Below are 25,486 nucleotides of genomic sequence, written 5' to 3' on the forward strand. Positions count from 1 at the left end.
CTTGAGCCCAGGAATTCGAGACTAGCCTGGGCAACATGGCAAAACTTCATCTCTACAAAAAATCCAAAAAAAAAAAAAAAAAAAGGTAGCTGGGTGTGGTGGTGCATGCCTATAGTCCCAGCTATTTGAGAGGATGAGGTGGGAGGATCTCCTGAATTTGTGAGGCAGACGTTGTAGTGAGCTGAGATCGCACCACTGCACTTCATCCTAGGCAACAGGGCAAGACTGTGTCTCAAAAAAGAAAAGAAAAATAGAGAGCTACATAAATACATTCCCTTTTCTGGCCAGATTCTTGTCCCCCAAGGCCTTCCCATAGAGAAATTTTACGGCTATCACAGTACAGTTCTACAACACAAATATAGAAAACTTGATCTTATGAAATTGATATGTTGGAGGAATGGTTACAAAAGAATTCTTTTGCTTACAAAGGATTTACTTTGCAGTTTTTTATTTATTTATTTATTTTTTTGAGACGAAATCTCACTCTTGTCCCCCAGGCTGGAGTGCAATGGCACGATCTCGGCTCACTGCAACCTCCACCTCCCAGGTTCAAGTGATTCTCCTGCCTCAGCCTCCTGAGTAGCTGGGATTACAGGTGCCCGCCACCGCGCCCGGCTAATTTTTTTTTGTATTTTTAGTAGAGACGGGGTTTCACCATGTTGGCCAGGCTGGTCTTGAACTCCTGACCTCAGGTGATCCGCCCGCTTTGGCCTCCCAAAGTGCTGGGATTACAGGCGTGAGCCACCGTGCTCGGCCTATAGTGTTTTTAAAAAAGCATTTTTTCCTCATCTATAGTTAAATTTAGAAATTTTTTAAAAAGCATGTTTTGTTTAGTACATTCCAGATGATTTGAACTTTTCAGAAATGCATCTTCTGGGTAACTACAATTTTTTTTGTTCCCCAATTGTCTGACATAGATGATAATATCCTAATGCTGCACCTTACAGCTGGTTGTTTGCCTCTATTTTAACAGCAACACCTCAGACTGAGCTTTGTGTGGAGGAAGTGACCTCAATCAGGAGATGAGGAGCTACCCTCATTACAACCACGTCACTCCACTTCCACTTCAGATATTTCTCATCTGTAAGTGGGGAAACAAATATGTCACTCTAAATAAAATAAAAAGTAATCAGGAGGACGAGTTTGAAGATGCCTGTGAAAGTATCCCTATGGCAACAACAATGAATCTACCATCTTCCTTGGAAGAATGTACCATTGGATTGTATTTATTTCTAAATAACAGATTCTCAGATGCAATAAATCTCATTCATCCATGGTCTAAAAACAGCATGTACCATTCCCTAATGTATGGTATCCTTATGGTTGTCAAGGCCGTCCTGACTTTTGAGCCACAGGATTTACAGATTGGAATGATGGCTGCAAAGGACGCTTTGAAAACCTGTGGTAATTTCTGAAAAAAAACTAAAATGACATTGTCTCATCTAGTAAGTAGACAGGGAATAACAGCTATCACAGAAGAGGAATTGCACACAGAAGTCTGTTATGCTGAGTGTTTGATCTTGAAATCCTTTACGTCATGTATACAGGATGAAAGCATGCTTGCTTTTCTTAAAAGAGAGATCGGTGTTGGGTTAAGTTACCAAATATACAAAGACTGTCAACAAGTATTAACACAGATACCTGACAACCAAAGCAAAGCCCACAAACACCTGGTTGGAGGTATAAAATTTGGACTTGGAGCATTCAATCTGATGTTATCACTTATGCCACCAAGGATACTTAAACTACTCAATATTTTTGGATATTCTGGTGATAGAGAAGTGGGCTTGGCTTTGCTTCATGAGAGTGCATCTGAAACCCATATAAATAATATCTTAAGTCTTTTGACTCTACTCTTTTATTACAATTATATCTATGTAGCTTTTGGTGTTGAAAAGGTTTACAATTCTGCTACAGAGGATCTCTTCCTAGTCTACCTCAAGAAATTTCCGAACTGTGTCATATTTAAATTTTTCCATGCACGTTCTAGTATGTTGAAAGGAGATTTTGAAAATGCACAGCTAAAATTACAGGAGTGCATTTTTACTCAGAGTGAATGGAAGCAGGTTCATCACCTCTGTTACTGGGAATTCATGTGGTGCCACATTTTACTGCAGGATTGGAGGCAGGCTTACCACTATGCCAATCTACTGTCTCAACACAGCAGATGGTCCAAGGCAATATACATGTACAGTAAAGCCATCATCCTGGCTTTGCTTCCTTCCGATTTTGTGAAATCAGCAAGTGAGAATATGAACTCTCTCTTCTTAAAAGTGGAAAGCCTGAAAAGTAATTTTTAGGCAGTTCTGTGCCAATAGAGAAGTTTGTTGCAGAGAAGGGTCAGCGCTATGGTACTACAATCGGCTGGTTTACAGCCCAGCCCCTTCTGGAGTTCATTTATGCCTGGAGTGGTTTCCGAGTCATGAGCAAAAAGAATGAGCTTATTTCAAGCTGGCTATCAATAATTGACAAAGGAGAAGATCTTTTACAAGAAAATCCACATAAAGAGTATGGCACAGATGACATAAGTTTATTAAATTTACTGAAAGGCCTATGCCTGAAACACTTAGGCAAATATTCAAAGGCTGAGTATTACTTTAATCGTGTCATTCAAAAGGAGAAATTATTAAAATATGACCACTATTTGGTGCCATATACTTACTATGAACTGGGAATCTTGCACTATCTAAAAGGAGACTATGCCAGAGCAACAAAAAACCTAGACAATGTAAGAAATTACAAAGACTATTCCATGGAAGCCCGATTACACTTTAGGACCCACATAGCACTTGAACAAATAGCCAAAGAAAAAATGACTTAAACACAAAGTGTGGTTTTGTTTAGTGTAAGTGAAATATCTACAGTGAGCAAGTCATTAACAGGTAGTAGAAAAATCATATCTTTGTGGGAAAAAATCCAAGAGGCGGCTGCCAAGAATCTGATCAGTAACGAGAAAGGAATGGGCCATGACTTTTCCCTCTTTCTTTCTCACACTTATAAAATGCGATGTCTTAGAGGCAAATGAGGTGAAGCACATTCTTGAAAAAGAAAAGGCAAATGAAGTACATTTAAAAAAATTCTCTCCTATGTTATAAATTTGTCAATTATGTTAGAGAACATTTTCAAAACCTCAAAAACATTTTTAACATCTCACTAGATAATGTATACAACTCACTATGCTAGGGATCCCAGTGCCCTATACATATTTTTATTTAATTGTTTTTCTCTCGGCATTAGTGCCGTCTTCTTGGAAACCTCTATGCCATGAGAACCAAGTGGAGGAAGACGTGAATGCACAGGCTGAAGTGCAAAGGAAGAAAGATGAGGCAGACGTCCAAGTCAACCAGTAGCTTGTGTACCCAGAAACATGGAATGCCAGAGGCTGGAGATGCTGGTACAAGTTGTTGGACTGCATGCTGCTGTCTAAGTGGATCTAGAGCTTCCATCACCATCTGATCACGGAAAGCACCTCTGAGACCCACCTTGCTTGTAACCAAAACAGCCCATGATGGTTCTTTGCCCTGGACCTGTTACATTCTGGACTATTTCTGTGTTCACTTGTGGCTGAGCATAAAAAACAAGCATGCAATAAATCACCTCTTCCGCTGTCTTAGCGAAGAATTAAAAAATTAAAAAAAAAGACAAATTTCCAAACAATGATGCACTGAATGGCACAGACTCTGAATGATTTTCCCTTATACACAATCATTTTTATTGGCTTTTTATACCAGAGGGTCTTGTCCGCCCTGTGTGATCAGTAGTATTTCTTACCCTTTTTTAGTAAGAAGCAGAATGTGAGTTTATAATTTGCCACAGGATAGAGAAGAAAGCCCTCTCCTTATTTTACACACACATAAATTCTTTGAAGATAACTGGGAGAGGCCAAGAGGATAGATGCACTGGCTGTCAGAGGAAGAGTTTTGTTACCATGTAACCCTCCCTTTAGTTGTCCTCCCTATGGTGTAATTCTTAATAAGACCAGCTCTTCAATATAATTAAACCGATTGCATCCATCCATTGTGAGTGGGTCAATCTGAGAGTAAATAGTAGCTGTAGGGATGGGGCTTGGTATTATTTTACTTGCCTTAGGGATTGAAAAATGACCTAATTTCCTGGTCATTAAGTCTGGCTAAGTGTGTCTTCCTGGTAGTCACCCTTTGAAACAGAAGTTGCGCCGGGCATGGTGGCTCACGCCTGTAATCCCAGCACTTTGGGAGGCCGAGGCGGGGGGATCACGAGGTCAGGAGATTGAGACCATCCTGGCAAACACGGTGAAACCGTCCCTACTAAAAAATACAAAAAAATTAGCCGGGCATGGTGGCGGGCACCTGTAGCCCCAGCTACTTGGGAGGCTGAGACAGGAGAATGGTGTGAACCCGGGAGGCAGAGCTTGCAGTGAGTGGAGATCACGCCACTGCCCTCCAGCCTGGGCGACAGAGCGAGACTCTGTCTCAAAAAAAAAAAAAAAAAAAAAAAAAAAAAAAAACAGAAGTTGCTAGAATATCGTAGCTTACTAAAAACACATCAATGAAACATGCTACCTTAATACTTTGGGTATCCAAACAACCAACTAAAACAAGATGAGGAACTGGTATTTCAAGATTTAGCAGTGTTTACTTTTAAAAACATTTTCCTCGTAAATTAAAAATAGACTTTGAAGTGAATAATTGTGCTTGAGTTATTCTTTGTTATTTAATTAGTATGGTTATAGTGGTTAAGAGGGCAGGTTCTGGCCTGATTACCTGAATTTGTATCCTAGTTCTGCCACTAACTAGCTGTGTGTGGCCTTGGGCCTCTGTATCTCAGATTCCTTGGCTATAGAATAGGGATAATAATAGTATCTGTCTTGTGGTTTTGCTATGTTAAGATCGAGCTAATAAACATTTATTATTATCATTACTACTACTACTACTACTACTACTACATTGTTCTGCAGTGGAGGGAACTTTCTTTGAAAAAGCATAGGTCCTGTTGTTACTTGCTTTGGCAATCTGAAATTTGACCTGTTAATTTACTTTTTCTGTTCTGTTTATTTTGGTTACTTATGAAACAAGAAACTCTCTGCCTAAATAATGTTTTTGTGTTTTGTAAAGTATTTCAACTTCTTCCAATGAAGAGCACATTTATTAATTGGTTAAAGAAATATGTATTGAATGCCCACTGTATGCAGGTACTGAACAGTGCTGAGGATATGAAGTATGGTTTCTCTCCTGACGGCCTTATTAGGGAGATAAGTTAGAAAAGGGTTTTGTTTGGCCAGGCACGGTGGCTCACGCCTGTAATCCCAGCACTTTGGGAGGCCAAGGTGGGTGGATCACTTGAGGTCAAGAGTTTGAGACCAGCCTGGCCAACATGGCGAAACTCCATCTCTACTAAAAATACAAAAATTAGCCGGGCATGGTGGTGCTCGCCTGTAATCCCAGTTACTGGGGACACAGAGGCATGAGAATCACTTGAACCAGCAAAGCGGAGGTTGCAGTGAGCCAAGATTGCACCACTGCACTCCAGCCTGGGCGACAGAGTGAGACCCTGTCTCAAAGAAAAGCAAAGAAAAGGGTTTCGTTTGGGTGGAAACGCTCAAAACACAGGGATTAGACAGGCATTAATTTGTCCCAAACAAAAGAAATCTGAAGGTAGGTAGTTCAGGTGTGATAGTTCATGGCTTTTCTGATTTTTCTTTTATCTTTCTACTTAGCATGTAAGTCTTCTCATGAATGTCTCCTCATGATGGAAAGAGGCTGCCTCACCTCCAGGCCTTATGTCCAAGCCAGGCAGGCTGAAGGAAGAATGGTAAAGAGACAAAAAGATCTTTCTCCTTCCTAGGAGGTATTGCCTTTTTTATTCCAGAAGGGATGGCCTTCTTAGAGACTTCCATGTGTATCTCATTGGCTAGAGGTATTCATATGGCCAGTCCTACCTGCAAGCGAAACTGAAGATTTTCAGCTTTGAAGCCTCATAAGAAGGCTGTGGGAAATGGTTAAGTGAACCAAGCTACATTCAGCAGCTGCCAAAACATATCTGTCAATAATAATAAGCTACCAAGTGGTATCAAGGGACACAGTTAAAAAGGGTAGTAGGTCGGGCGCAGTGGCTTACATCTGTAATCCCAGCACTTTGGGAGGCCTAGGCAGCTGGATCACTTGAGGTCAGGACTTCGAGAAGAGCTTGGCCAACATGGCAAAACTCCGTCTCTACTAAAAATACAAAAAATTAGCCGGCTGTGGTGCCGGGCGCCTGTGATCCCAGCTACTTGGGAGGCTGAGGCAGGAGAATCGCTTGAACCTGGGAGGCGAAGTTTGCAATAAGCTGAGATGGCGCCACTGCATTCCAGCCTGGCAACAAAGCAAGACTCCGTCTCAAAAAATGAAAAACACAATAAAATTAAAAGGGTAGTAGGCGGAGTTTCCAGATAGCTGAACACACAGAGATTCCTGGAGGGTGGTGCACCCAGGGAAGGCACAGACACTCCACGTCCCATCCCCCATATGCATTTTTTTCTTTTTTTTTTTTTGAGACAGAGTTTCACTCTTATTGCCTAGGCTGGAGTACAATGGCATGATCTTGGTTCACTGCAACCTCCACCTCTCAGGTTCAAGTCATTCTCTTGCTTTAATCTCTCAAGTAGTTGGGACTACAGGCGCACACCACCGCGCCCGGCTCATTTTTGTATTTTCTGTATAGATGGGGTTTCACCATGTTGGCCAGGCTAGTCTTGAACCCCTGACCTCAGGTGATCCACCCACCTTGGCCTCCCAAATTGCTGGGATTACAGGTGTCAGCCACTGGGCCTGGCCCCCCATATACATTTCTTCATATGTATCCTTTATAATATTGTTTATAATAAACTGGTAAATGTTGGATCAGGTAGTGATTCATATAGGAGTACTGAGCTTGAAAGAATCATGAGAACTGGCCCAACATGCCAAAGAAATAGAAGCCAATAGCATTGCTGTCCCTGCCCCTTTCTTTTCAAACCATGAAACAAAGATGCTCTGATTAATTTTCTAATAGAGGCAGCTGCTGCTACCCCTGCATTTTATTACTATCACATTCCTGCCTTGACAGGGGTGAAGATTTGTGCTGAGAAGCTGTTTGATGAGATTCAGCATAAGAGCCCCACTTACTTTTTTTTTCTTTTCTTTTTTTTTTTTTTTTTGTGGAGACAGAGTCTGGCTCTCGCCCAGGCTGGAGTGCAGTGGCACCATCATGGCTCACTGTGACCTCTGCCTCCTGGGCTCAAGCAATCTTCCCACCTCAGCCTCAAGAGTAGCTGGGACTACAGGCATGTGCCTCCACACCCAGACAAAATTTTGTATTTTTTGAGGGGATGGGGTTTCACCATGTTGCCCAGGCTGGTCTTGAACTCCTGAGCTCAAGTGATCTGCCTGCCTTGGCCCCCAAATTGCTGGGATTACAGGTGTGAGCCAGTGTGGCCGGCCAAGAGCCCCACTTTCTAAAGGCTGAAATTCAGTGACACAGATCTTAGACTTCAGGCAATGTGTTGATCAGAATCGCCAGCAATAGTTGACCTTCCTTTTGAGGGTGGATGAGCAACTGTTGAGTGCTCTGGTGATGGGAGCAACTGGAGCAGTGGGCAGATTTATATCGACAGATTTATAAACTTTTTAGTCAAACTAGGTTTTCTAGTGTCACAGATCAAAGCCATCATGACTCTGGTCCCTGCAGTGGAAGTGGGCCCACCCCATCTTCCGCTGCAGAAAGGCTCTAGGGAGTTTACTGATAGTGCTGAAGCCAAACTAAAAAGCTTGGATTTTTTTCTTTCACTGGCTTAAAAGATGGAAACTTGGAAGCCTATAGCCAGTGCCTGTCTATCCAATCAGGCTGTGTGCATTAAGACATAGTCTGCCCTAAATAGTGCATTCTTTTCTCAGGGACTTTTTAGAAAAACTTGAACTGAACTCTCTCCTAGCAAATGAAATCTCACTTCAATCAACAGATATTTAAGTACTTACTATGAGCCTTAAAAAGGTTTATTTTAGGCCGGGCATGGTGGCTCATGCCTGTAATCCTAACACTTTGGGAGGCTGCTTTTGGGAGCTGGAATTAATCAATTACAGTTATCTTGATTTCTAGTTCTTAATCTGATTTTAAAGTTTTCTACTGGACGTAGTGGTGCACGCCTGTGGTCCCAGCTACTTGAGTGGCTGAGGTGGGAAGAACAGTTGAGCCCAGGAGCTTGAGGCTGCAAGTGAGCTATGATTATACCATTGCACTCCAGCCTGGGTGACAGTGTGAGACCCAGTCTCTCAAAAAAGAAAGTTTTCTAATTTTAAACCACTATAATGTACAATACTTTTTTTGGTGGTGGTGGTGGGGGAATGTAATTTCATTTTAATAAATATCCATTTGGTATCTAGGTAACACTGAGCTACAGCATTTAGACAGGTACTTTAAAACCAAATTATAACATGACTGAACTATATACAACTATGAATGCACCAGCTCATTTGGCTGTTCAGTCTAACTCTAGAGCACATGCTTTCAGATTAATTGCAATATCACTGTTTTCTCCCAATACACTGTTACAGGACCAATAGGTTTGTATGCCCACTGCACAGTAACAGATCCATTACACTGAGACATCAGGGATGTGGCAGAGAGTTTAATGATGGCAGGGTGCCAACTGAGGAGATGAGGAGACGGGAGGAGATTTTCAAACCCATCTATCCAAGGAGTTCTGAGCTTGGGTTTTTTTTTTTTTTTTTTTTTTGAGACGGAGTCTCGCTCTGTCGCCCAGGCTGGAGTGCAGTGGTGCGATCTCGGCTCACTGCAAGCTCCGCCTCCCGGGTTCACTCCATTCTCCTGCCTCAGCCTCCCGAGTAGCTGGGACTACAGGCGCCCGCCACCATGCCCGGCTAATTTTTTGTATTTTTAGTAAAGACGGGGTTTCACCGCGTTAGCTAGGATGATCTCGATCTCCTGACCTCGTGATCCGCCCGCCTCGGCCTCCCAAAGTGCTGGGATTACAGGCGTGAGCCACCACGCCCGGCCTTGTTTTTTTTTTTTTTTTTTTTGAAACTGAGTTTTGCTTTTGTTGCCCAGGCTGGAGTGCAATGGCACGATCTCGGCTCACTGCAACCTCTGCCTCCCAGGTTCAAGAGATTCTCCTGCCTCTGCCTCCCGAGTAGCTGGAATTACAGGCGTCCCACACTACGCCTGGCTAATTTTTTGTATTTTTAGTAGAGACGGGGTTTTGCCATGCTGGCCAGGCTGATCTCGAACTCCTGACCTCAAGTGATCCACCTGTCTCAGCCTCCCAGAGTGCTGGGATTACAGGCGTGAGCCACCATGCCCAGCCTTGGGTTTGGGTTTTAAAGGCTATCATGTAGGGCAAGGGGCCAGAAATTTGGGGTTATCAACTGGTCGGGGCAAAGGGGATGAAATCATCAGGATGTGGAAACTGCATTCTTTGGTGAATCAGCTTTTTGTGAGGTCCCTCAGACCAGCTGGCATCAGCGAGGTCCTGCAGATCAGCTGGCATAGGAGTTTTACCAGTATGTGGGATCTAAAGGCATGTCTCAAAGGGAAACCCTTTAGTAATGTTCAAGTTATCTCTAGAGCAGTTAAGGGGAACTAAAATCTTCTAACGGGGTCTACATGATCCTAGGATAATAGGCACCAAACAACTATGAGGAAACAGGTCAGGGAGCAAGCTGACCTCAGGATTAATGCTGAATGTGCTGCAAACTTGGTTTAGTTTTGTTTCTTCCCCTCATTTCTTCCCCGATTAATCTTATAAAGTTTATAGGGGCGGTTTCAACATTAGAGTTAGATGAGGACTTGCTTTAGTTCTATAACTAAAAGGTCTTTTCTCACAACAAAGCAAAGACCTTCTGCAAAGATGAATTTAAGTTTCCACTTCCTGCAATGTAGGAAACTTCTCAAAGCTCAAAGTTTCAAATTCCAAAGGGCTCTTGAGGGCCTTTTCCTCTTGGAAATCCTCTCTCTCTCATTAGAAAGAGAGCTGTTTTCTTTTTCTTTTTTTTTTTTTTTTGAGATGGAGTCTCGCTCTGTTGCCAGGCTGGAGTGCAGTGGCCCGATCTTGGCTCACTGCAACCTCCGCCTCCCGGGTTCAAGCAATTCTCCTGCCTCAGTCTCCCGAGTACCTGGGATTACAGGTGCCCACCACCATGCCCCAACTCTTGACCTTAGATGATCCACCTGCCTCGGCCTCTCAAAGTGCTGGGATTACAGTCTGGGCCACCGCGCCCGGCCCTTAATCTCTTTTCTAACAAAATTTGGTGTATGCTGTGTTTTTTCTTTTAGACAGGGTCTTGACAAAGTGTTGGGATCACGGGTGTGAGCCACTGCACCCAGTGAAGTGCTCACGTCCATTCAGTTTAATTTTTAGCGCCAGTTTATTAGAGCTTGGAGAAGGTACCTCACTGTCACTTTCCTGTACATAAACACAGATATAGTGCTATTGAAGCACTTTTTCCTTCTTTCTCTTTTTTTCTTAACATTTCCATTGAACAGATGATTTTTTTTTCTTTTTTTTTGAGATGGAGTCTCGCTCTGTCACCCAGGCTGGAGTGCAGTGGCGTGATCTTGGCTCCTTGCACCCTACCCCTCCTGGGTTCAAGTGATTCTCCTGCCTCAGCCACCCAAGTAGCTGGGACCACAGATGCGCACCATCACACCTGGCTCATTTTTGTATTTTTAGTAGAAATGGGGTTTCGCCATGTTGGCCAGGCTGGTCTTGAACTCCTGATCTCAAGCAATCCTCCCGCCTCAGTCTCTCAAAGTGCTGGGATTACAGGAGTGAGCCACCACACCCAACCAAAGCATTTTCATGCTTGGAAAACAATCTTACCTCCAATTTACTGCTAGGGAAACCAATCCTCCCTCTCTGAGGCTGTAAAACCTTCCCTCTGGGCAGGGCAGATTACAACAATCAATTTGGAGACACCCTCTCTAAAATTGGATCTTTCCTTCCTTCCTTCCTTCCTTCCTTCCTTCCTTCCTTCCTTCCTTCCTTCCTGCCTCCCTCCCTCCCTCCCTCCCTCCCTCCCTTCGTTCTTTCTTTTTTTTCAATGTCTTGCCCTGTCGCCCAGGCTGGAGTGCAGTGGTGCAGTCTCAGCTTACTGCAACCTCTGCCTCCCAGGTTCAAGCGATTCTTGGTTCCTTGGCCTCCTGAGCAGCTGGGACTACAGGTGCGCACCACCACATCCGGCTAATTTTTTGTATTTTTAGTAGAGATGGGGTTCCACCATGTTGGCCAGGCTGGTCTCCAACTCCTGACCTCAAGCGATCCACTGGCCTCGGCCTCCCAAAGTGCTGGGATTGTAGTCATAAGCCACCTCTCCCAGCCTAAAATTGGATTTTCTTCTTTCTTTCTCTTTCTTTCTTTCTCTTTCTTTCTTTCTTTCTTTCTTTCTTTCTTTCTTTCTTTCTTTCTTTCTTTCTCTCTTTCTTTCTTTTTCTTTCTTTTTTTTTTTTTTTGAGATGGAATCTTTCTCTGTCGCCCAGACTGGAGTACAGTAGTGCGATCTCAGCTCACTGCAACCTCCACCACCCGGGTTCAAGTGATTCTCCTGCATCAGCCTCCTGAGTAGCTGGGATTACAGGCTCAAGTCACCATGCCTGGCTAATTTTTGTATTTTTAGTAGAGATGGGGTTTCATCATATTGATCAGGCTGGTCTTGAACTCCTGACCTTGTAATCCTCCCACCTTGGCCTCCCAAAGTCTTGGGATTACAGGCGTGAGCCACCATGCCCGGCCTGGATTTTCTATTAGAGAGATGGTTGTTCTGGAGTCTTTTTCGTAATACTATTGGTCTAAGCAGGAAAGTATATTTTACATAATGTCTCATGGTGTAGCTGCTCTATACTTCACTATTTTCCCCATATCCAATTTCTCAGCATCCTTTCTAATATGCTAATTTAATCATATCATCATCCCATAAATCAAAATTTCCCCATTCTCTGTAGCTTATTTACTGATTCTAATCCTTTCTAATATACTAATTGAATCATGCCACTCCATATATCAAAATTTCTCCATTGTCTATAGCCTATTTACTCATTCACCAAATGAGTGAATGTTTGAAAGTAATTAGAATAGTGCCTGGCACAAGTTCTAACAAACAGAAGTTTGTTAAAGAAGTGGCTGGGTACTGTGTCTCACCCCTGTAATCCTAGTAGTTTGAGAGGCCAAGGCTGGCAGATTGTTTGAGCCCAGGAGTTCAAGACCAGTGTAGCAACACAGTGAGACCCTGTCTCTACAAAAAATTACCCAGGCATGGTGGAGCATTCCTGTAGTCCCAACTACTTGGGAGGCCAAGGCACGAGGATTGCTTGATCCTGGGAGATCAAGGCTGCAATGAGCCGAGTGGCGCCACTACACTCCAGCCTGCATGACAGAGTAAGACTGTGTAAAATAATAACAATAATAAATAAATAAAATAAAATAAGTCATTTTGGATTTGGCAGAGAAAGGTATGTGTGTGTTTGTGGGTTTGAGGGTGAGGCAGGCAAACCTTTGGAAGGAGATAGAGGAGAAGTAGAAAAGAAGACAATGTGAGGAGAGGGACACCAACTGGAGTGGGAGAGGCTCTAGGGGGACCAAGGGTAAGGGCTGACCTAGGAAAGGAGGTGGCACCATTTGAACTCAGTGACAACCAGCTACAGGAGAGGGCCATTCTGAGAACTTGTATTAGGAAGTGGGCTGGGCAACAGTCTCTTAGAAGTCAGTGATTTGCATCAGCAGTTCCCGAGAATTTTACTTAGGAGGCTAAAGGGGCAAAAAGGTAGGGAAATTGCCCCAGTCTCATCACCTTAAAAAGGGTAACTGGCCAGGCAGGGTGACTCATGCCTGTAATCCCAGCAGCTTGCGAGGCCGAGGCAGGAGGATCGCTTGAGCTCGCTTGAGCTCAGGAGTTAAGAGACCATCCTCGGCAACATGGCAAGAACTTGTCTCTACCAAAAATTAAAACAAACAAACAAACAAACAGAAAAACATTAGCAGGGAGGGCATGGTGGCACATGCCTGTAGTCCCTGTTACTCTGGAAGCTGGGACAGGAGGATCGCTTGAACCCAGGAAATCCAGTCTGCAGTGAATCATGATCCTTGCACTGCACTTCACCCTGGAAGAAAGAATGAGACCCTGTCTCAAAACCAAAACCAAAAACAAAACAAAAAAAGGATGGGGAGTAACTGAAGTTTACCTTGACACTAGTTTCTACTTGTAGAATACACACACACACACACGCACAAAGGCCAAAGTCTTTCGTTCTGGAGTATGGAGTATAGATTATAGCTTAAAATGAAAATGTACAGTTTGTTGGCGGGGCACGGTGGCTCACGCCTGTAGTCCCAGCATTTTGGGATGCCGAGGCAGGCAGATCACAAGGTCAAGAGATCGAGACCATCCCGGCCAACATGGTGAAACCCCTTCTGTACTAAAAAAATACAAAAATTAGCTGGGCATGGTGACAGGCGCCTGTAGTCCCAGCTAGTCAGGACGCTGAGGCAGGAGAATCACTTGAACCCAGGAGGCGGAAGTTGCAGTGAGCTGAGATCGTGCCATTGCACTCCAGCCTGGTGATAGAGCGAGACGGAGTCTCGCTAAAAAAAAAAAGAAAAGAAAATGAACAGTTTGTGACATGTTGGTTGTAACTCTTTTGGACTGAATTTTTACGAGTTCAAGTGTTTTCCTTCACACTGTGATAACAATTGGCACTTATATGAGCTCTTAGTAGATTTACAGAGGGCTTTAACCAGCAAAATCTAAGAATCCACTAAAACTACATTAATATAATCAGCCAATCATGCAACGAATAAAGGCTATGGGAAAGATTCAAATGATGACAATAAGAAAATATACTTTGAAGATTATATGGAACCTAAATCTCAAGGAGTAAGGAAAAAGCTGATACATTTTTGATGTTTTCTACACCTTTGTTTAATAGTGTTTTCATTTGGTTTTTGTAAATCTCCCTTGGTTTTTACATTTCCAGGAATTCAGCGTTTACCACCTTGTACCGTTTTTCAGTCCTAAAAAAGATTCTGGATCATGCCAGAAGCCAGTTAAGTGCGTGACCAGAAATCCGTAGCAGAAGCAAGTCTTTTGCACTTTTCCACTGGAGGGGTTTATAGAGAGTGATCTGCTAGACAAAATTCAACCCGGTTTGGTTCATTTCTTTCCAGCTTCTGCACCTTTCTCAAGATTGTACTGAGGGCACATCCCAAAGGAGCAGGCATTTTAATTGCCTATACAAGCCAAGCAAACAAGAAATACCTTGGCCGTGTCAGAGGCGTTGGAACCAGAGTGACTCCGTTTTGAGTGAGGGCTAGGAAAATGAGGCTGGGACTTGCTGGTCTGCATTCTCAGAAAGTTAGGCATTCCCAGCCTCTAGATGTTTACGGTTAAGGGAAGACATTAATAACGTTTACCGCCGGGCGCGGTGGCTCACACCTGTAATCCCAGCATTTTGGGAAGCCGAGGCGGGCGGATCACTTGAGGTCAGGAGTTTGAGACCAGTCTGGCCAACATTGCAAAAACCCGTCTCTACTAAAAATACAAAAATTAGCCAGATGTGGTGGTGCATGCCTGTAATCCTAGCCACTAGGGAGGCTGAGGCACGAGAATCGCTTGAAGCCGGCAGGTGGAGGTTCCAGTGAGCCTCGATCGCACCTTTGCACTCCACCTGGGTGACAGTGTGAGACTCTGTCTCAAAAAAAAAAAAAAAAAAAAAAAAGTTTACTAAACAGACCCAGACTTGGGAGTGTCCAGATATCGCAATACCTGGAGAACAAAGGCATTCCTAATTTTGCTTTAAAGATAATAGTATTGATGCTTGAAAAATATAGTAATTAAGAAAATTAATCCTTTATCATAAACCCTTGTAGCAGAGCGCATCTCCTCATACATAGGACTATTGTATCTAGGGTGGACACTTTCCTCTTACTTTCGGGAACATCCTACTCTGTCTATGGAGCAGCTGTTCTTTCACCACTTTACTTTCTTACTAAACTTGCTTTTGCTTTGCACTGCGGACTCGCTCTGAATTCTTTCTTGCGCGAGATCCAACAACTCTCTCCTGGGGTCTGGATCAGGACCCCTTTCCTGTAGCAACCCTATCGCTCTTCTCCACGGCACGTTCACCTCACATTCCTAGAGCTTTAGGATTTACTCTGAGGGTTCATGTGCTTTGATTCTAAGGCGAAAGTGCATTTCCAAGTCTACTATCATTGAGGACCTGGCACGAGCTTTTTCCTCTTTATTTATTTTTATTTTTAATTTTTTTGAGACGGAGTTTCGCTCTTGTTGCCTAGGCTGGAGTGCAATGGTGCGATCTCAGCACACTGCAACCTCCGCCTCCCGGGTTCAAGCGATTCTCCTGTCTCAGCCTCCTGAGTAGCTGGGATTACAGGCGCCCGCCACTAGGCCCGGCTAATTTTTGGTATTTTTAGTAGAGACGGGGTTTCACCATGTTGGCCAGGCTGGTCTCGAACTCCTGACCGGTTTCGAACTCCTGATCCACCCGCCTCGGTATCCCAAAGTGCTGGGATTACAGGCGTGAGCCACCGCGCCCGGCCGCTTTTTCCTCTTTAAAGAAAAAAAGATTATTTGAACTGTCCGTCGTGGCAATGGAGAGGGATAGCCTTAGAGGACATGGCGGTTCATTATTATTATTATTATTACAGAACAATCTTAGACTCTGTCCGCACCCTGCACTCTAGGTCCCGCGACTCTCAGACCTCCAAGTAGGACTACAAAACAGAGGTTTCTGGGGGAAGGAAGTGACGATCGGCGCAAAGCATGCTGGTCTCAGGCGGTCTCCGCTCAACGATCCTTCCTCAAAGCATGGTTGCTGAGTACCCAGAGTTGCGAGGAGTTTTTTAACTGGTATTTTTCTCGTTTGTCAGGGTTAAACGTTAAGTACCATTTGGTTTTTAGTACAGTGTTAGGTATCGTGTGGCTGCAGGACAGGACCAGAAATCTAAGCTCTAGAGCTGTAGCCGCTGGCCCTTCGTTTGTGCATCCTTCAAACAAATTTTAAGGGGCAGTTGTCATAAATCGGGGGAGCCTCTCGATGGCGGGATCCAGCGGAGACACAGAGCCAGAGAGCGCGTGGGTGGATATCAGGAGAGTTTTCTGGTTCAGTTGAGGAGTGGGGTGAACTCCTTTGATCGATGGAAGGAAAAGCAGAGTTGAAGGGTTTGAGCATCATCTGCAGGCCAGAGTGAAAGCGATTTGGAATGTGGTTGTGGATCGGAATAGACCTGTGCCAGATGAATTTCCTCAGACTGCACCCGCGGCAAATCGGTGACCCCTCTGCTTTAGGCCGAATTGTACATATTAACTATTTTCCTTTTCCTGATAAAAATTCTCAAGCAGCCTTTACACGTGTTCTTTTCCCCAACTATAGTATCAGTTCCTATCAGTACATGCATTAATACTTAATTGTATTAAGTTACTTATTACGAACTTGAGGCAAATCACAGATGTTCTCTGTCTCTAGGATAGGATGGAGATTAGGGATAAGACATTTGCTTACGTGGAACATATATTAACCAGCACTGGTGGTTGTTTCAGATTTAGCCAGGTGGCAATCATGAGTGAATGGATGAAGAAAGGCCCCTTAGAATGGCAAGATTACATTTACAAAGAGGTCCGAGTGACAGCCAGTGAGAAGAATGAGTATAAAGGATGGGTTTTAACTACAGACCCAGTCTCTGCCAAGTGAGTATGCATCCTACTTGCCTGAAATCTTGACACCCCTTTGTGCTGCCTGTATGTTATAGACAAACTAAGAAAGCAGATAAATGAAAAGCTAATTATTAATATTTTCATATAAGAATTTTTTGTTTGTTTGAGACAGGGTTCTACTGTCACCCAGGCTGGAATGCAGTGGCGAGATCTCGGCTCTTTGTAACCTCCACCTCGCAGGTTCAAGCGATTCTCCTGCCTTAGCCTCCCGAGTAGCTGGGACTACAGGCATTTGCCACCACGTCTGGCTAATTTTTGTATTTTTTGTGGAGACGGGGCTTCGCCATGTTGCCCAGGTTGGTCTCAAACTCCTGATCTCCAAGGATCTGCCCACCTTAGCGTCACAGAGTGCTGGCATTACAGGCTGAGTCACTGTACCCGGCCTACATATGAGAACTTAACTGCCTTTGAATCTAAATGCTGTTCTGACTATGGATTACCTTATCAGACCAGGCAACTTCATAGAAATTGGGCATAGAAATTATTCTTACTATATATATATATATATATATATATATATTTTTTTTTTTTTTTTTTTTTTTTTTTCGGGGGTGGGATGAAGTCTCACTCTGTTGCCCAGGCTGGAGTGGTGCAGTTACAATCTTGGCTCACTGCAACTTCTGCCTCCCAGGTTCAAGTGATTCTCATGCCTCAGCCTCCCCAGTAGCTGGGGTTACACACATGTGCCAACATGCCCCACTAATTTTTTGTATTTTTAGTAGAGACGGGGTTTCGCTATGTTGGCCAGGCTGGTCTCAAACTCCTGACCTCAGGTGATCTGCCCACCTTGGCCTCCCAAAGTGCTAGGATCATAGGCTTGAGCCACCGTCCCCAGCCTATAATTTTGTTTATAAATACTTCACTATATCTCTTAAAAGAAAAGGACTTTAAGGCCGGGCATGGTGGCTCACGCCTGTAATCCCAGCACTTTGGGAGGCCGAGGCGGGTGGATCACGAGGTCAGGAGATCGAGACCATCCTGGCTAACATGGTGAAACCCCGTCTCTACTGAAAATACAAAAAAAATTAGCCGGGCGTGGTAGCAGGCACCTGTAGTCCCAGCTACTCAGGAGGCTGGGGCAGGAGAATGGCGTGAAGCTGGGAGGCAGAGCTTGCCGTGAGCTGAGATCGCGCCACTGCACTCTAGCCTGGATGACAGAGCAAGACTCCGTCTCAAAAAAAAAAAAAGAAAAAGATAAGGACTTTAAATAAATGTAACCACAAAAACTTTTTTTTTTGAGATGGAGTCTCGCTGTGTTGCCCAGGCTGGAGTGCAGTGGCGTGATCTCAGTTCACTGCAACCTCCACCTTCCCAGTTCAAGTGATTCTCCTGCCTCAGGCTCCTAAGTAGCTGGGATTACAGGCGTGTATTTTTAGTAGAGATGGGGTTTCACCATGTTAGCCAGGACGGTCTCCATTTCCTGACCTTGCAATCCACCCACCTGACCTCCCAAAGTGTTGGGGTTATAGGCGTGAGCCACCTCACCTGACCTTTTTTTTTTGAGATGGAGCCTTGCTCTGTTGCCCAGGCTGGAGTTCAATGGCTCGATCTCGGCTCACTGCAACCTCTGCCTCCCGGATTCAAGTGATTCTCCTGCCTCAGCCTCCTAAGTAGCTGGGATTATAGACATGTGCTACCACACCCGGCTAATTTTTATATTTTTAGTAGAGATGGGGTTTCACCATGTTGGCCAGGCTGGCCTTGAACTCCTTACCTCAAGTGATTTGCCCGCCTTGTCCTCCCAAAGTGCTGGGATTACAGGCGTGAGCCACCATGCCCGGCCTAGTTATTGTTTTTTTAACTCTAAAAGTTAAGTCTACCCTGCCTTCTTCTTTTTTTTTTTTTTTCCACGACAGAGTCTTGCTCAGGCTGGAGTGCAGTGGCATGATCTCGGCTCACTGCAACCTCTGCCTCCCAGGTTCAAGCAATTCTCTGCCTCTGCCTCCCAAGTAGCTGGGATTACAGGTGACTGCCACCACACCCAGCTAATATTTGTATTTTTAGTAGGGATTGGGTTTCACCATCTTGGCCAGAGGTTGGTCTTGAACTCCTGACCTCGTGATCCACCCGCCTCGGCCTCCCAAAGTGCTGGGATTACAGGCGTGAGCCACCGCGCCTGGCTACCCTGCCTTCTTTTCTAATACACATTTAAGGCATTCATAACTTGTTTAATCCTTTAACTGTATCCCACAATGATTGGCTGTAGGCTGGGCAAAAAGTTTACCTATTTAGGATCCTTAGTGAATGTTTGTTGAATAAATGGAAGCATTCATTGGTGACAGGATTAATTTCAAACAGAGTAGAGTGTCATCTATTATTTTAGTGACCTACTTGGGTTGATGATGCCTCTAAACTTACTTTTCCTCCAAAGTATTGTCCTTGTGAACTTCCTTGAAGATGGCAGCATGTCTGTGACCGGAATTATGGGACATGCTGTGCAGACTGTTGAAACTATGAATGAAGGGGACCATAGAGTGAGGGAGAAGCTGATGCATTTGTTCACGTCTGGAGACTGCAAAGCATACAGCCCAGAGGATCTGGAAGAGAGAAAGAACAGCCTAAAGAAATGGCTTGAGAAGAACCACATCCCCATCACTGAACAGGGAGACGCTCCAAGGACTCTCTGTGTGGCTGGGGTCCTGACTATAGACCCACCATATGGTCCAGAAAATTGCAGCAGCTCTAATGAGATTATTCTGTCGCGTGTTCAGGATCTTATTGAAGGACATCTTACAGCTTCCCAATGAGAGGCCAGGAAGTGTGAACATACTGATAGAAAAAGACTATATTTTATCCCTCATAAAATGTTTTAAATGTAAATGTACATGACTGTGTGTGTGTATGTGTGTGTGTGTATAATTCTTTGTTGTTTTGGTAAAATCAGAGGAGTGGGTTATAAGTGCTAATTTCCTTGGGAAATTAATGAACTAGGGCAAGTATAGCATCCCATGCATAAAATTAGCACAGGGACATCAGAATTGTATGGGTCTTCTTTTTTCTTTTTTTCTTTTTTTTTTGAGATGGAGTCTCGCTCTGTTGCCAGGTTTGAGTGCAGTGGCGCAATCTCAGCTCAGTGCAACCTCCGCCTCCCAGGTTCAACCGATTCCCCTGCCTCAGCCTCTCGAGTAGCTGGGACTACAGGTGCACGCCACCACTCCCAGCTAATTTTTTGTATTTTAGTAGAGATGGGGTTTCACCTGTATGGGTCTTTTCTTGTGATGGGGTTACACCCCCATTTTTGTTAGGCAAGAAAAGCATTTGGAAAAAAATGTAACATGTTAGATTCAATATAAAATATTATGGTAAGATCATGGTCTTGTTAAGTCTCTTCACTAACTGTATGTGTCTGTTTTTAAAAGATGTGTCTTGGTGGGGCGCGGTGGCTCACGCCTGTAATCCCAGCACTTTGGGAGGCCGAGGCAGGTGGATCATGAGGTCAGGAGATCGAGACCATCCTGGCTAACACGGTGAAACCCCTTCTCTACTAAAAATACAAAAAAAATTAGCCGGGCGTGGTGGCAGGTGCCTGTAGTCCCAGCTACTCAGGAGGCTGAGGCAGGAGAATGGCATGAACCCGGGAGGCAGAGCTTGCAGTGAGCCGAGATCGCGCCACTGCACTCTAGCCTGGGTGACAGAGCGAGACTCCGTCTCAAAAAAAAAAAAAAAAATTATTGGAACACAGCATTACCTATTGAATTACAGTTTTCTGGTTTTTTTGTGGAGTTTTTGTTTTGGTTTTTGAGATGGAGTTTCACTCTTGTTCCCCAGGCTGGAGTGTAATAGTGCAATCTCGGCTTACCACAACCTCTGCCTCCCAGGTTCAAGCAATTCTCCTGCCTCAGCCTCCTGAGTAGCTGGTATTACAGGCATGCACCATCACGCCCCACTAATTTTGTATTTTTTTAGTAGAGACGGGGTTTTTCCATGTTGGTCAGGCTGGTCTCAAACTCCCGACCTCAGGTGATCCGCCCGCCTCGGCCTCCCAAAGTTCTGGGATTACAGGTGTGAGCCACCGTGCCCGGCTGTTTTTTGTGGGTTTTTTGTTTGTTTGTTTGTTTTTGAGACAGAGTCTTGCTCTGTCACTCAGGCTGGAGTGCAGTGGCACAATCTCGGCTCACTGCAACCTCTGCCTCCTGAGTTCAAGCCATTCTCCTGCCTCAGCCCCCTCAGTAGCTGGGATTACCAGGCACATAGCACCATGCCCAGCTAATGTTTGTATTTTTAGTAGAGACAGGGTTTCACCATGTTGACCAGGCTGGTCTTGAACTCCTGACCTCATGATCTGCCTGCCGTGGCCTCCCAAAGTGCTGGGATTATAGGCATGAGAGCCTCCGTGCCTGGCTTTTTTTTTTTTTTTTTTTTTTTAAAAGAGGGTCTTGATATGTTGCCCAGGCTTGTCTTCAACTCCTGGGTTCAAGTGATCCTTCCACCTTGGCCTCCCAAAGTGCTGGGAATATAGGTGTGAGCTGCCATGTCCAGCTGTAAGAAATATTTTAAAATATTTAAGCTTCAGGGCCTTTGAATACAGGCCCTGATAACATAGCTATTTTCCTGCATAGTTGTCTAATAACAAGATGGTATAGCCCAGTGCTTCTTGCACTTTAGCAAGCATCAGAATCAGCAAATATTTAGGTTTCAGGGCCTTTGAATACAGTCTGATAACACAGCTATTTTCCTGCATAGTTGTCTAATAACAAGATGGTATAGTCCAGTGCTTCCTGCATGTTGGCAAGCATCAGAATCAGCTGCAGGGCTTTTCAAAACAGATTGCTGGACCCTCCTCCCAACAGATTCTGATTCAGTAGTTCTAGTTGGGACCCAGGAATTTGCATTTCCAACAGACTCCCAGATAATGATGTTACCGTTCCCAGACCACACTTGCAGAAGCAGTTCAGAAACTTCAGGGGAACAGAAAGTTCCTCCCTCACGGCTTCAAAGTTCCATGATCCTGAAAGCAAAATTTAGCACACATCACCTTTCTCCTAGTGGCTAAGACTCTCCTGTTCAAACCCTGGATGTCTTCAGAAAGCAAATAGAAGGGGAATATGAACAGACTGAAGTCAGCAAGGAAATGACTGACAAGATGAGGGAGGCCTTTGAAAAGGAAGAAGCCAGCTGGGCGCGGTGGCTCACGCCTGTAATCCCAGCACTTTGGGAGGCCTAGGCGGGCCGATCACTTGAGGCCAGGATTTGTGACCAACCTGGGCAACATGGTGAAACCCTGTCTCTACTAAAAAAAAAAAAAATAGCTGGGTGTGGTGGTGAGCGCCTATAATCTCAGCTACTCAGGAGGCTGAGGCACTCGCTTGAATCTGGGAGGTGGAGGTTGCAGTGAGCCGAGATTGTACGCATTCCAGCTTGGGCAGCAGAACGAGACTCTGTCTCAAAAAAAAAAAAAAAGCCACGTAGGAAATTATCCACAGCATCAATTGGACTTGATCTTGGCTCAGGGACCAGGCCCGGTGCCTTGATATTGGTAGATTTATTTGCCATCAGACTAATGAGCTGGGGACATTGACTGTTTCCTGGCAACTGAGTCCTCTGATTGTGTAAACAATTTGCCTGCAAACAAAACCTGAGTGCTTGAAAGGGTAAGTGATCCTGATCTGCCATAGAAACCTTCATGCTTAGGGAGTTTCCCTAGCTAATTCCTCAGCTAAGATTCTCCCCAGGAGTTTCACTCACCTGTTTCCAGTGCCTCCTTTGGGCTGTCAGCATCTGTGATTCCACATTCCCCAGAGGGAGATTCCTCCCCAAAGCTGGTTGTATTTACTGCCAGTCCTGGGCTGTAGCCAGGGCAGTCTTTGAACACATTATCAAGAATACTTTTTAAAATAAAAGTCTGTTTCGACTTCCACTGTGTATTTTTTGTCTCCTTGGAAGCAAAGTTTCCACTGTTTGCACTGATTTCTCACCATCCCCTTTTCATCTGATTTCCTAAGTCCACTTTTTTCTTCTAAAGATACTGAAGTTGATTTTTCCATGCACTTAGTTTTTTTTAAGTGACATTTAAAACATTCAATCAATTGTTTTAATTTGCTGAGAATTGATGAAAATTTCACAATCCTTTTTTTTTTTTTTTATAAGAGTCAAGGTCTTGCTCTGTCACCCAGGCTGGAGTGCAGTGGCGCGATTATAATTCACTGCAGCCTCAAACTCCTGGCCTCAAGCAATACTCCCACCTAAGCCTCCTGAGTAACTAGGACTACAGGCACACACCACCCATGCAGCTAATTTTTTTTTTTGAGACGGAGTCTTGCTCTGTTTCCCAGGGTGGAGTGCAGTGGCACGATCTCAGCTCACTGCAATCTCTGCCTCCCAGGTTCAAGTGATTCTCCTGCATCAGCCTCCTGAGTACCTGGGAGTATAGGCGTGGACCACTACGCCCAGCTAATTTTTTGTATTTTTAGTAGAGACGGAGTTCCACCAAGTTGGCCAGGGTGGTCTAAAACTCCTGATCGACCCACCTCGGCCTCCCAAAGTTCTGGGGTTACAGGCATGAGCCACCACACCCGGCTCTCATTAAGTGTTTTTTCAAGCAAAAATAAAATTATTCCAGTACCTATACATGTTTTTCGCTTTTGCATATTAATATCCTTTAAAGATTTTTAGGTAATTGTAATCAATGTGTATGCTTTTTTCTTTGTTTCTGTAGTCTTTATTTATTTATTTTTGAGATGGAGTTTTGCTCTTGTTGCCCAGGCTGGAGTGTAATGGTGCGATCTCGGCTCACCACAACCTCTGCCTCCCGGGTTCAGGCGATTCTCCTGCCTCAGGCTCCCAAGTAGCTGGGATTACAGGAATGCGCCACCATGCCCAGCTAATTTTTGTATTTTTATAGTAGAGACGGGGTTTCTCCATGTTGGTCAGGCTGGTCTCAAACTCTTGACCTCCGGTGATCCGACTGCCTCGGCCTGCCAAAGTGCTGGGATTACAGGCATGAGCCACTGCACCCAGCCCATATTTTTTAAATAAAATTGTGATTACTTAGACTTTGCTGAGTTTTTTATTTTTAATTAATTTTTGATAAGAGTCTGGCTCTGTCACAGGGGTTGGAGTTTAATGGCAAAATCATAGGTCACTGCCACCGTGACTGCCTAGGTTCAAGCAATCCCGCCTTCAGGTGCAGGCCACCAAATGGGCTTTTTTTTTTTTTTTTTGGCAAAGAGAAGGTCTGGTTGTGCTGCCCTGCCTGGTTTTGAACTGGGCTCAAATGATCCTCCCTCCTCAGCCTCCCAAAGTGCTGGGATTATAGGCTTGAGGCACTAACCACACCCGGCCTTTGTTTTTGATGACAGCCATTCTAGTTAAGTTGTGAAGCAGTATCTACTTGTGGTTTCGTTTTGCATTTCCCTCGTGACTAAGGATATTGAGCATCTTTTCATGTGCATATTAAACCATTTGTTTATCTTCTTTGTTGAAACGTTTATTGAGATATTTTGCCTTTTTTTTTTTTTTTTTTTGCAACTTCTTCCAGGAAGGCACTAATTTTTAAAATAGGGTATTTACTGGCCGGGCGCAGTGGCTCACACCTGTAATCCCAGCACTTTGGATAGGCCGAGGTGGGCGGATCACGAGGTCAAGAGATTGGGATCATCCTGGCCAATATGGTGAAACCTTGTCTCTACTAAAAACACAAAAATTAGCTGGGAATAGTGATGTGCGCCTGTAGTCCCAGCTACTCGGGAGGCTGAGGCAAGAGAATCGCCTGAACCTGGGAGGCGGAGGTTGCAGTGAGCCAAGATCACGCCTCTCAAAAAAGAAGATAAGTGATTTGCAAATATTTTCTCCCAGCCTCTCTCATTTGTATGTTCTTAATGGTGCTTGTTTTTTGTTTGTTTGTTTGTTTGTTTGTTTTTGGAGACAGGGTCTCACCCAGTCACCTAGGTTGGAGTGGAGTGGCACCATCTCAGCTCACTGCAACCTCTACCTCCTGGGCTCCCACCTCTGCCTCCAGAGTAGCTGGGACTACGGGCGCCACCATGCCTGGCTAATTTTTACATTTTTCTTTTTTTAGAGACAGGGTCTCCCTATGTTGCCAGGGCTGGTATGGAACACCTGGGCTCAAGCAGTCCTCCCACCACAGTCTCTCTAGTAGCTGGAACCACAGGCACACCCACCATGCCCAGTTAATTTAAAAAGTTTTTTTTTTTTTTTGGTAGAGGAAGGGTCTTACTATGTTTCCCAGGATGGTCTGGAACTTCTGAGCTCGGCCTCTCAAAGTGCTGGGATTACAGGCATGAGCCACAGAGCCCTGCCTGAGAAAGTCTTAAAAAGCACAATTAAGAGACTTGGTTGAATCCCTTAGCTCCCTTTTAATTTCAACAGACATCCATACTCTTCAGACCCTTCTGGAGGCTAAATTATGGTCCAGATTGAATTATTCAAATAACTTGAACCTGGGAGGTGGAGGTTGCAGTGAGCCAGGATCACACCACTGCGCTCCGGCTTGGGCGACAGAGTGAAACTCTGTCTCAAAAAAAAAAAAAAAGTATTCAAATAAACTTTATTTCTCTGTTCTCATGTATCCCTATTTATCTTTGTATTCTGAGTTCCTAACAGGGTGACTGACACATAGCACTTCTTTAAAATATGTTAAATTGAAATTTTAAGGCCAGGTGCAGTGTCTCACACCTAGAATCCCAGCACTTAGGGAGGCCGAGGCGGGTCGATCAATTCAGGTCAGCAGTTCCGGCCAACGTGGTGAAACCCCATCTCTACAAAAAAATACAAAAATTAGCTGGGCGTGG

The 25,486-nt window shown here is 44.4% G+C and overlaps 1 protein-coding gene and 2 pseudogenes across 1 annotated transcript; all 3 read left to right on the top strand.

Annotated features, from left to right (window-relative positions):
* Positions 1,176-2,791, top strand: TTC39DP (tetratricopeptide repeat domain 39D, pseudogene; annotated as a pseudogene).
* NPLP1 (NPL pseudogene 1) lies at positions 6,857-8,008 on the top strand (annotated as a pseudogene).
* GEMIN6 (gem nuclear organelle associated protein 6) lies at positions 15,801-22,593 on the top strand. The gene is made up of 3 exons (NM_024775.10): positions 15,801-15,872; positions 16,563-16,709; positions 19,108-22,593. The coding sequence occupies exons 2-3, from the start codon at positions 16,582-16,584 to the stop codon at positions 19,481-19,483; spliced, it is 504 nt and encodes a 167-aa protein (NP_079051.9). The 5' UTR covers positions 15,801-15,872; positions 16,563-16,581; the 3' UTR covers positions 19,484-22,593.
* Positions 22,594-25,486: the final 2,893 nt, after the last annotated feature.

Source organism: Homo sapiens, chromosome 2 (genome assembly GCF_000001405.40).
Source record: "Homo sapiens chromosome 2, GRCh38.p14 Primary Assembly".
Lineage (NCBI taxonomy): Eukaryota > Metazoa > Chordata > Mammalia > Primates > Hominidae > Homo > Homo sapiens.

Excerpts from the sequence above, each read along its gene's own strand:
- GEMIN6 (NM_024775.10), top strand. The coding sequence starts at position 16,582 with ATGAGTGAATGGATGAAGAAAGGCCCCTTAGAATGGCAAGATTACATT. Across the intron at positions 16,710-19,107 it reads ACAGACCCAGTCTCTGCCAA|TATTGTCCTTGTGAACTTCC; the intron begins GTGAGTATGCAT and ends TTTCCTCCAAAG.